The 13146-nt window shown below is 35.7% G+C and overlaps 1 long non-coding RNA gene across 1 annotated transcript in view; it reads right to left on the bottom strand.

Annotated features, from left to right (window-relative positions):
* Nucleotides 1-11554, bottom strand: part of LOC105377178 (uncharacterized) — a 51481-nt gene extending 39927 nt beyond the window's left edge. Inside the window, exon 1 of the long non-coding RNA NR_188681.1 lies at nt 11173-11554. This is a non-coding gene — a long non-coding RNA (uncharacterized LOC105377178). The remainder of the gene's footprint in view (nt 1-11172) is intronic.
* Between the last annotated feature and the right edge of the window lie 1592 nt (nt 11555-13146).

Raw genomic sequence — 13146 nt, 5'->3', positions numbered from 1 at the left:
TGTAATGCCTCTTTTAAAATTTGTTTTACCTTCTTCCTAAGATTATGATCATTGTACTTTATATGTTCTCTATACTTATTCCCTTGGTGATTTTGTTTGTATGCTTATGTTTTATAGCTTTAGCTACCATCTTTATGTAGATTGCTAAGTCTGAATTGTTTTCAACTTCCACTGGCACTCTTAAAAACTGCCATATGATTTGGTCTGGCTATTACATTGTAATTACTCTGCAACCTTGCCTTCAGCCCACAATATTGCCAGTGTGATCTTGTAAAACAATTGTTTCAGATTATTCAATTGCTAAAAACAAACAAACAAACAAACAAAAAATTTGAGTGGCTCCTCCTGCTGACAAAGTATGTTGCCTATTCCTTCATAGCATTTATGATATCTTTGTGGCCTCATCTCCCAACTCTCAATACCCTTTGCCCTGTCTTCTTCATTTCATTTCTGCCAAAGAGCTCATGTCCCTATCTTTCTGTAGTATATAGTACTATGAGTTGTTTTCTATATTACACAATCTCTTCTGTGGATATTGTTTCATCTTAATTATTCCTGATTGTATTCATTAACTATAATAGCACTTGAAAGAATATGTTTTGATATTTCTTATTCTGCTACAAAAGGTCTAGGTGTCCATATTTGTAAAAGATTTGGGGTTTTTCACAATGAGATACCATCTCCCACCAGTTAGAATGGTGATCATTAAAAAGTCAGGAAACAACAGGTGCTGGAGAGGATGTGGAGAAATAGGAACACTTTTACACTGTTGGTGGGACTGCAACCAACAGTGGAAGTTCAACCATTGTGGAAGACAGTGTGGCAATTCCTCAAGGATCTGGAACTAGAAATACCATTTGACTCAGCCATCCCATTACTGGGTATATACCGAAAGGATTATAAATCGTGCTGCTGTAGACACATGCACACGTATGTTTATTGCAGCGCTATTCACAATAGCAAAGACTTGGAACCAACCCAAATGTCCATCAGTGATAGACTGGATTAAGAAAATGTGGCACATATACACCATAGAATACTATGCAGCCATAAAAAAGGATGAGTTTATGTCCTTTGTAGGGACATGGATGAAGCTGGAAACCATCATTCTCAGCAAACCATCACAGGGACAGAAAACCAAACACCGCACGTTCTCACTCATAGGTGGGAACTGAACAATGAGAACACTTGGACACAGGGTGGGGAACATCACACACTGGGGCCTGTCATGGGGTGGGGGGAGGGGCGTGGATAGCATTAGGAGATACACCTAATGTAAATGACGAGTTAATGGGTGCAGCACACCAACATGGCACATGTATACATATGTAACAAACCTGCACGTTGTGCACATGTACCCTAGAACTTAAAGTATAAAAGAAAAAAAAAGATTTGGGGTTTTCTCTTTTCCTTGAAAATATGGAAGATTATTTTTAAAATATGAAGGTGGAAAATGAAACTAATTTTAATAATGGGTTACTTAGCTAAATTTAAAAAATTGGTAGAAAGCAGGCTTATTACAGAATCACTCTCAGATATTCATGTGTATGTTACCTAATTATGAAATAATATTTTTACAGATAATGTAAACAAATTTTAGTATTAATTTAACTAAAACATAGTTAGAAAGCTATGCCTGTGATAGAATAACAGAATCAAAACAAGACACCTTGCCATTCTGGACACACTTCTGAAGACTTCCCCTCATTTATCCATGTTGTTATGAAAACAAAACACCAAGACTGAGAACAATATTTGACATTTGTTCTGATTATTGAAACACATAGTGGAAATACTATTTTCTGTGACCTGCACACAGTTGCTATAATAACAATAAATTCTAATAATCATTTATATTTCTGTAACATTATGTTTTTCATGGTACTTTTTTATGCATGTCATTAGAGTCTCTCAAAGATCTTGGTGGTAGGTGTAGAAATCTATATTTTTAGTCTTTTATGTATGTATAACACCTACACACTATTTAAAAACAATAACTGTTTCCTTAGGTCTTGTAAAAAATAATAATGTCCTAATCATCAGTAGGAATTCTTCTACTGAGTGTTGAGAATTTTGTTTTAGGTTCTAGATACTAAGAGAAACTGACAGACCTCTGGAGGAGGGTATGTTGGAGAGTGGAGCTGCTCATAAAATCACAGAGAAATGAATTTTGAGAGATTATCAGATAATAAAAGAAACTGCATAAGATTTTTAGGCTAGATAAGAGATTGGAAAGTAGTGTGCTGAGAAATGTTCAACAACTAGCTCTCCAAAACAAAAAAAAAAGAGAAAAGTAGAAGTACTAATTTTTAGTGTTTGTTAATTTCCATGGTATAAATTCTCCAACCATAGCCACTTTCCAACCATCAGGATGACATCGCTGATCACAGGGTTGGGAAGAAATAATCAGTACTACAGTGTCTTAGTCCTTCCAGGCTGCTATAACAAAGTACCATAGATTGGGTGGCTTTTAAAGAAAAGATATTTATTTTTAGGCCCAGCACTCTGGGAGGCCTAGGTGGGCGGGTCACTTGAGCTCAGGAGTTTGAGACCAGCCTGGGCAACATGACAAAAACCCTTCTCTATGAAAATTACAAAAAATTAGCTGAGCATGGTGGTGTGTGCCTATAGTCCCAGGTACTCAGAAGGCTGAGACAGGAGGATTGCTTGAGCCCGGGAGGCAGAGGTTGCAGTGAGCCAAGATTGTGCCACCGCACTCTAGCCTGGGTGACAGAGCAAGACTCCATCTCAAGCAAGCAAGCAATAGAGAGAGAGAAAGGGCGAAGGAAGGAAGGAAGGAAGGAAGGAAGGAAGGAAGGAAGGAAAAGGAAGATAAGAAAAGAAAGAAGGAAAGAAGAAAAGGAAAGAAAGAAAAAAGAAAGAAAGGAAGGAAAGAAGGAAAGCAAGCAAGCAAGCAAGCAAGCAAGCCCAAGATAAAGGCACTGGCAGATACAGTGTTGGGTGAGAGCCTACTTTCTGCTTCATAGGTGGCCATCTTATTTTTTCTTCACATGGTGAAGGAGCAAATGAACTATCTGGGGTCTTATTCATTTTATTTTATTTTATTATTTTTGGGGACAAAGTTTTACTCTGTCGCCCAGGCTGGAGTGCAGTGGCACGATCTCAGCTCACTATAACCTCCACCTCCCGGGTTCAAGTGATTCTCCAGCCACAGCTTCCCAAGTAGCTAGAATTACAGATGCGCAACATCACACCCAGCTAATTTTTGTACTCTTAGTAGAGATGGGTTTTCACCAAGTTGGCCAGGCTGGTCTTGAACCCCTGACCTCTGATGATCTGCCTGCCTTGGCCTCCCAAAGTGCTGGGATTACAGGTGTGAGCCACTGCGCCCGGTCTGGGGTCTTATTCATAAGGGCACCAACTCCATTAATGTGGGCTCTGCCCTCAAGGCCTAACCACCTCTCAAAGGCCCCACCTCCTAATGTCATCATTTTGGAGATTAGGTTTTAAACTTATATATTTGGGAAGGACATAAATATTCAGTCTATAGCATGTAGCAATCAATATATAATGTTTCTATTACTACCATTCAGATATAGGTATAAATAACCTTAGTCTTAGATAGTGGTAAAATAGTTAGCGTATAATGAGCTATATTTATCATCTTTGTTTTTAATATAATTTAATTAACAGGAAATTTACATAATTTATTTTTTAATAATGACCAGTTTAACAACCGCTTGCAAATTTCTGGAAAATTTAAAAATTGGCTCTTGTAACCTGGTATAAGCCAGCTCCAACAAGTAACTAGATTAATGGAAGACATGATTCCTTCAAATATTCAAAGATACATCAAGGGGGAGGATAAGACTTTAGTATTTTATTCCAGAGGGCATCACCAGGACCAGTAGATATAAACATATGATGGCAAATTTAGGATCAATTTTAAGCCCAGACTTTTTAACAGTGAAAATGATTAATGTGGCAGCTATTTGGGGCAATGAGTTTTCACTGAAAGTATCCAAATAGATAGTTTTTCCATAAAAATGTTCCAGAAGAGGTGGAATGACCTTAGATACGGGTTTTGTAAAAGGAATTCAGAACTGCTGAGAAGGGTTGACGTGTACATTGTCTTCCGACTCTAAGGTTTGAATAATAGTCACTTTTACAGTACTTTTTTATTTTTCTCAGACCTTGAGCAAGTACTTACAGGTTTTTGATTCATGATTTCAAGTCAAGTATTCCAAAATTCATACTTGAAGTTATTTTTATTGAGCCCATGATTGCAGGGCTGCTTAAATATGAACTAGGTGGAACAGTAAACATCTCTGTACTTTCATTTGCTGTCAAAAGCTTAGAAATACCAGAACTACAATAGATTCATCTGTCTGATGTCCCCCACAGGAATAAAAGGAAAACTGGAAAGTAAATAAACATTTATTTCTCAGTGGTCTTCTAAGGCGAAGACAAAGAAGAAACAGGAGAAGTGAGAAAAAGAATGTGCCTGCTCTCCCTTCAGACCCCGTGCTGGCCTTGGCCCTGGGCTTAAATGTTAGATACTCTCGGTGGGAAAAGGTGTGAGGTTAACAAGGTGGAGCCATATTGATAGATTTCTCTATTTGCAGAGATCTCTAAAATAAATGTCAGAAATGGAAAAAGATCACCTGAATTTGTGCCTTTGTCTATCTTTGTTCAGACAGAAAATTGAGAGACATCCATAAATGAAAATTAGCTAAAAATAAAGCTGTCATTTGAGTAATTTTAATATGCATGCACTTTATCTCCAACTTCTTTGTGAGTTTCAGAATATTTTAGTAACATGTAGAGATTCAGCTTTCACAGCCTTGAGATGATAACTTGGAGGCTCACACTTGAAAAAAGAGTGATTGGTTACAATCAGTGTGGAGAAGAAAAGCTGCAGATGCTAGGCTGGTGACTTACTACCCGTAGTGTAATCTAATAAAGGTGCGAAGGACAATTTTGCATGCTTGATGTACTTTGGCAATTACCTTTTAAACAGATGTTATTATTTAATCCATCAAAACAAATACCCAATAAATATATAGTAATGAGGCTAGTTTATGGCTCAATTTTTTCGAAGATCTAAAAGATCAGCTTTTAATAGGCTAGTCTCAAAGCAAATTTTTTTTATTAAATAGCTAGATAAATTAACCACTAGCATTAAAAACTATTGTTACTCAAACTGTGACAATAATCTGCATAATGAAGCCAGCATTTTAGATCATACGTTTTCACCTACAGATGAGCTCTATGACCATCTCCAACAAATTATAGCAGAGGAGAGGTAACAGGTGCCCCGGGAGCATCATTAGAGAAAATTAGTCCAAATTAGCCCAAACTTATTTTGAAATCTAATGTCTTATTTTTTTAATTAATGCAAAAATTTGTGGGTTTTACTCTACAATACAACTATATGTTATAATAGAAAGAAAATTAAATACAAAATATTTTTCTCTAATTATTTTATGACTATCAACATGGTAGGAAGATGGATTATGTGTATTCTACAACTTCAAATGTTCCCTGGCATAACATTCTGTACCTCTGTGGTCATGCATGTCCTAGTCTGAAAAGCACAGATTTCCAGGATCAATAAGCCATCTCCTCACCTGGTTTCCATGTTCCATTTCCAATTCCATATTGCACATGCAGCTTCCTGTGTATTGTGTCATTTTCACAAACACTTCACTTACTGGGGATGACTAAGCTTAGCTGTCCACAGGTCATAAAGTTAAATGGAAGCTTGGCAGGGTACTTTGTCTTGTCTTTGACCCTCAAGGACAACCACATTTAAATTACAGCAGACATATAAGAACAAAGATGACTCCATAGTCTCTGCAGAAGAGGAATTTCATAAACTATTTTGGAATTTCTTCCTAGTCTAATATCATGAAGATCTGTTTTCAATACAGGCAATATGCATTTTAACTCTAAATGTCCTGAGAGACCTGTAAGGGATAAATTCAGATCATTTAATCTAAAACAGCCACTTGTATTAAAGGCCCATCAGTTGTATCCTACATGAAGGCAACAATCCTGTGAGAATATCTAGAAGATGCATGGTATTATTGACAGTGAAATTAAAACATCAGTTTAATTTTCTGTTGTATTCGAAGCTTCATATTTCACCTTAGGTATTCTTTTTGTTTTGTTTTGTTTTGTTTTTTTGTTTGTTTTTTAAAAAACAATTTTAATTGAGGTATAATGGACATACAATAAACTGCATATATTTAAAATGTACAATTAGATAATTTTTGCACCCATTAAATCATCACCACAATCAAGATCATGAACATATCTGTATTCCAAAATGCTTCCTCTATCCTTTTTTTTTTTTTTGAGAGAGTCTCACTCTATTTCCTAGACGGAAGTGCAGTGGCGCAATCTCGGCTCACTGCAACCTCTGCCTCCCTAGTCCAAGTAATTCTCATGCCTCAGACTCCCAGGTAGCTGGGATTACAGGCAAGCACCACCACGCTTGGCTAGTTTTTGTATATTTAGTAGAAATGGTCTTTCACCATGTTGGCTAGGCTGGTCTCTAACTCCTGGCCTCAAATGATCCACCTGCCTCGGCCTCCTCAAGTGCTGGGATTACAGGTGTGAGCCACTGCACCTGGCTTCACACTTCTTTTGGTATTCTTTTTTAGTGGTTGCAAAGTTAAAATGAAGATTTTTACTGTACAAATAGTAAGCAATTTTTTAAACATAAAGTAAACATATGCTATGCTAATAAGTTAAATTAGCAGAAAGGTAAAAACAGATTCACTCTTCTTCTGGAAGAATAAAGAAAACAATAAAGAAAACCTTATTTGCACATTGGAGTATAGTTCTGCCGCTGGCCAGACTGTGTCTATATTTCTTCATAATCCAATATCTAAGAGGGGCTGAGCAAGTATTTGATGAATGTATGAATGAATGAACAATGCATATTCAACTACAAAAACGAATTTCTTCTGTTGAGGGATTAAATCAACCAAAAGTTTGGAAATAAATTTCTTTGGTGGCTGTAGTCAAATATGCTTTAAGGGGAGTAAAAAGAAAGTTCCATTGTAACAATGTATGGTTTTTAAAGGACAATATAATAGAAAGAAAATCATTTTAAAGTGTTCCAGCTCAAGACAGATGACTAGCACAAGACTTTACCTCTCCCTCTCCCCATAAAAATTCCCACTGGAAAGAAAGAATAAGCGTTAGAAAATTAGAAAAAATTCGTAGAAGTACCAACCAGAAAGCAAAAGAATTTCTGAATATACCAAAGAGTTGGAAACCAATGGGAAAATTTAACAGATCTAAATAACCATTAGTGCCATATAGGAAAAAGAGAGATTTGCTATGAAGTGAGTATTGCCATCAGAACTCCAGAAAAATCTAGTCTAAGAGGCAGAAAAACGAAGGAAATAGGTGGTTTAAATTTGTTAAGGGCAAGAGAACAGCCATGCCAACCCCTTACTCTCAAATCTGCCAGCCATCACTGCTGGAGAAACCAGAGGTGGTGCTGTCATATTCTAGCTGACCTCCACTTACTAATAAACAAACACTTGATCTCTGAGAACAACCTCCCATCACATCTTAAAACACAACAGTTAGCTATAAATCTCCCCGTGCTCAGTGCTTGCCCCTATAATCTGCACCAATGCTCACAATGATTTTCATATGTGCAAATGATCACTGTACTGATGAAGCAGACACTGAAATTGGAAGAAAGTATCAATTCAAGATGAAGACAATAATTTTAAAATAAAAATAATTAATATAGCCATTATTATTCCTGAGACCATCAGAAACATAAAATTAAAAGAGGCTGTAAGATAGACTAGGATTTAATAAAAATACTTAGGTATACATTTAACTAAAAAGTGAAAGATCTCTACAAGGAAAACTATAAAACACTGATGAAATAAATTAAAGAGGGCCCTACAAAATGGAAAGGTATCCTATGCTCATGGATTGGAAGAACTAATTTTGTTAAAACGTTCATACTACCCGAAGTGGTCTACAAATTCAATGCAATACCAATCAAAATACTAATGACATTCTTCATAGAAATAGAAAAAACTATCCTAAAGTTTATGTGGAACCACAAAATATTCCAAATAGCTAAAGCAATCCTGAGGAAAAAGAACAAAGCTGGAAGCATCACAATACCTAAACTTCAAATTATGCAACAAAGCTATAATATCCAAAACAACATTAGTCTATGTGTGTGCCTAAAAACATACACATAGACCAATGGGACAGAATAGAGAACCCAGAAATAAATCCATGCACTTACAGCCAACTGACTCTTGACAAAAGTGCTGAGAACATACACTGGGGAAAGAACAGTCTCTTTAATAAATAAATGGTGCTGGAAAAAAAATGTATTTCCATATGCAAAAGAATGAAACTAGAGCCCTATCAGGTACCATATACAGAAGCCACCTCAAAATGGATTAAAAACCTAAATGGAAGACCTGATACTGTGAAACTACTAGAAGAAAACACTGGGAAGATGCTACAAGACATTGTTCTGGGCAAAGGTGTTTTGAGTAAGAGCTTGAAAGCATAGGCCTCAAAGGGAAAAATAGACAAATTAAATTACATCAAGCTAAAAAGCTTCTGCATGGCAAAAGAAACAATCAATAAAATACAGAGACAACCTACAGGATGAGAGAAAATATTTGCAAACTATCTATCCAACAAGAGATTAATAACCATAATACAAAAGGAACTCAAATAACTCCATAACAAAAATAATCATTAAAAAATGGGCAAAAGACCAAAATTGACATTTCTCAAAAACAAAACATAAAAATTAAATGGCCAACAGGTATATGAAAGAAATGTTCATTATCACTAATCATCAGAGAACTGCAAATTAAAACCACAATGAAATATAATCTCACATCTGTTAAAATGGCAATAATCTAAAAGACAAAAAATAATGGGTTCTGGCAAAGTTGCAGAGAAAGGGGATGCTGCTTGTGCACTGTTGGTGAGAATGTAAATTAGCACAGCCACTATGGAAACACAAAACAACTAAAAATATAACTACCATGTTGCATTAGTCCGTTTTCACACTGCTATAAAAATACTAGCTGAGACTGGGTAATTTATAAACAAAAAAGTTTAATTGACTTTTGTGAATTTATAAACAAAAAGAGGTCTGCATGGCTGAAGAGGCCTTAGGAAACTTAAAATCATGGCGAAAGCAAAGGAGAAACAAACACCTTCTTCACAATGTGGCAGGAAAGAGAGTGAGGAAATGTCACACATTAAAACCATCAGCTGTTATGAGGACTCATAAACTATCACGAGAATGGCATGGGAGAAACCACCCCATGATCCAATCACCTCCCACCAGGTCCCTTCCTCAACACATGGGGATTACAACTCAAGACGAGGTTTGGGTGGGGACCCAGAGCGAAACCGTATCACATGAGATCCGGCAATCGCACTGCTGAGTATATATCCAAAATAAAGGAAATCAGTACATCAAGAAGATCCTGTACTCCAATGTTTATTGCAGCACTATTCGCAATACCCAAGATATGGAATCAACCATCAGTGAGTGAATGGATAAAGCAAATGCAGTGTATATACACGATGGAATATTATTCAGTAATAAAAAAGAATAAAATCCTGTCATTTGAAGCAACATGGTTGGAACTGGAGGTCATTATGTTAAGCAAGGCACAGAAAGACAATTTCCACATATTCTTACTCACATGTGGAAGTTAAAAAAGTACATTTCATGGAGGTAGAGAGTAGAATTATAGTTAACAGAGGCTGGGGAGGGTAGGGAGGAAAGGGAGGAGATGGAGAAGTTGGTAAGTGGATACAACATTCCATTTAAAAAGAAGAAATAGGTTACAGAATTCAATAGTGCAGTAGAGAGATTGTAGTTAACAGTAATTTACTGTATGTTTTAAAATAACTAGAAGGGAAGAATTGTAATGTTTCCAACACAAAGAAAAGGTAAATGTTTGAGACAATTAATATTCCAATTACCCTGATTAGATTATTACACATTTTACATGTATACATGTAAAATATCACATGTATTCCCAAAACATGTACAACTATTATATATCAATTAAAAAAAACAAAGATAGTTTAGCATTTTTAAAGGAGGGGTACCAAAATTCAAACCCTATTATGTGAGCTAAGTAACAATGAACATGTAAAAGGGCATGGAAAAGAAATATGAAAGATTAAAAGAAAGACTTCCATAGACACAGATATGCAGCATAGATTAGCTATTTTGTATTGTTCTTTGAAATATAAACTGAAATTCACTGCACTGTCATTTAGAGTTACTTTAATAAAAATATATTTGTTTCTAATTTTTAGAAACTGGGCACTTGTGGTCATTTCCTAATTCAGAAATGTATGTATTTTTTTCCTAATTCAGGAAATAACCAAAAGTCATTTTTATTTTAGTAGGTACATATATTACTTTCTCTTCTATTATCCCTCAAGAGTAACAAATGCATGTCAGTAAGTGTCATCTAATAATTTCCTTACTTGTGCTTCACAACTATTCTAGAAGGTAGGTATCACTATAACCATTTAATATATGAGAAAACTGAGGCTGAGTAAATTGTAGCAATCATAGAGCAAGTAAGTGACCCTTTAGAATTTGAATCCAAGATTTTTATCCAGTACTTGAGCTGTTTTTCAAATATTCTAACATTTTGAATGCATTACCAAGAGGAATGCAAAAATAGCATTAAAATTTATACAGAGTTTCAGCTTACATTATGATAAAATTCTAGAGTAGAAATTCCATGAAGGCAAAAATAATGTCTGGTTACATTTTAAGCACAAAGCTGAGAAGTACAGCTAGGGTTCTCCGAACTGTAGACACAAATTTGTTTTGTTTTGCTTTCCTTTTCATTTGTTTATTTTTAAGTACTTGATGTACTACCTATCATAAATGCTAACAAATTTATTTTAAAATATTATATATAATGGGTTTATTTTGATAATCAGGTAGGAATTACATTTTTTTTAACTCTGGGTTCACGGATATGGGCAAGAAACAAAGTTTCGTAGTTAGAAAAAAGAGAAAAAGGAAGTTAAACTTACCTATGGCAGCTCAAGAAAAAAAGGAATCATTTTTTAAAAAATAAGATCTTTCAAAACACAAATGAGTAAAACATAGGCTCCAGGTAAATATTGTTAACATCTAAATTTTTAACAGCTTACCTTTGAACAGCACTTTCGAGATTAGGATAGCATTTCCCAAAGTGTATTCCATAGGATATTGCTGGCTGTGAGCCAAATATATTTAGAAAACATATCACCTATGTCTTTTCTAAAAGTCACAAAACATATGAGCATTGTAAAGACTGAGAAGTGTTTCACATTTAAAAACTTAATTCCTGGTTTAACTTAGTGTTTCTCAAATGATTACAACCATGGAAGCTTTTTTTTCTGGTAACATCTATTAACATTCATCAGAAATAGTGATGGAAAAATATTATTTTATTTAGTTCATAAACAAATCATATGAAAAGAATGACCTAATCCCTACTTTTCTGTGATCTACCCAGGTCACAGGGTAATGAGTTGTCAAGCAAAGATTTGCACTCAGGTCTTCAGACAGACCAGAGGTCTTTTCTCTTTCTAGTTGGCTACAGTTCCCTTTTTTACCTACCAGCACAGTCATGCTCCGTTTATTTTTAACCCATGAGGAAATTGCTTGTGCTGCCACTTCATGCAGCACTTCAGGATTTTGTTCCAATTTTGAGAGAGAATTCTTGATAACAGAATTGCTGCGTTAAGTATTTGTTTAAAGCTAAAGCAGAAAATCACTCATGAGTAACACAGGCAGTTAAATGGTACCATCTGGAGCAAGAGGCATCTCTAAGTATCCTTATTTAAGAACCAGTTTACAAATAATAACAGACCCCTGGAATTAAGCAGTTAGCTCCTTTGTCATGGATAACAGCATTCAAGGGAAATAGCTTGCTTCATTGATTTTGAATCATCACAAACAGAAATACTAGGATATTTTGGCTGTTTCATTAGAAATACCAAGAGGAGGATCTTTCAAATCAATAATATTGAGAGTAACAGATAATCCAGTTGGTGTACTCTAGTTTATAGACGAAAACAAATAACAGCATTTCATACTTAGAAGAAGAGCAAGGAAATTAAACTGACCTAAAGAAAGAATGGTTGCAGTTTTGGAAAAAGCAAAAGGCTTATTTCATAACATAGAAATACTGTATAAATTAAACAAAGTTTCTAGTCATTACTTGTCACAAACTATGTTTTCACTTTAGGCTTTGCTTATCTGCACAGTATTCATCAAAATCATATTTTGTTTATTTGTACTGTGCATGGTGTATTGTATATGCTCAAGAAATATTTGTGGAACAGATATAGATAAAAATAGAGATAGAGGTAGATACAACAGAGTATAATCAAAGACTATCTGCGCAAAATAAAGAAATTCAAAGGAACTCTGAAGCCTAGAAAATCAGGGCTTCCTTAGGGCAATGTTTTCCTATCTTAAAATGATAATTTTTATACTGCACTCTGGGGTAAACAGACACTGCTCAACACCAGAGTAGACCTGCCAGGGCCTTTCGCCACTCAAGGGCTTGCAAGGTCATACCCAGGCCTGTGGTGATCAATGTCTGCCCAAGAGACTAAAGTATTCTTTCATTTGTCTTCTGTCACATGTATAGAACTCATTGAAAACAGATTTTTTGGTGTGACCTCCCCTGCAGCGCTTTGGGAGGTTGAGGCAGGAGGATGGCTTGAGCCCAGGAGTTTGAGACCAACCTGGGCAACATAGTGAGACCCCATCTCTACAAAACAAATAAATACATAAAAATTAAAATCTGAGTTTGGTGGCTTGCACCTGTAGTCCCAACTACTTGGCAGGCTAAGGTAGGAGAATCCCTTGAGCCGAGAAGGTCGAGGCTGCAGCGAGCCATGATAACACCACTGCCCCAGTCTGAGCAATAGAATGATACCCTGTCTCAAAAACAAACAAACAAAGTGGACCTCATCAGTGTCTCCGAGAGATAAAGGAGGTAAATTATGTGGATTAAAACTGCTGTGAGAATTCCAAGAGAATATGTGAGAAAGGGTCTTGTACAGCAAATGGTCAAATCACCCAGGAGGGTAAGCTTTATTTTTATATACATACACGTTGTAAAAATAATA

Source organism: Homo sapiens, chromosome 3, assembly GCF_000001405.40.
Source record: "Homo sapiens chromosome 3, GRCh38.p14 Primary Assembly".
NCBI lineage: Eukaryota > Metazoa > Chordata > Mammalia > Primates > Hominidae > Homo > Homo sapiens.
The sequence above is the reverse complement of the archived record's forward strand: the minus strand, read 5'-3'. Positions and strand labels throughout refer to the sequence as shown.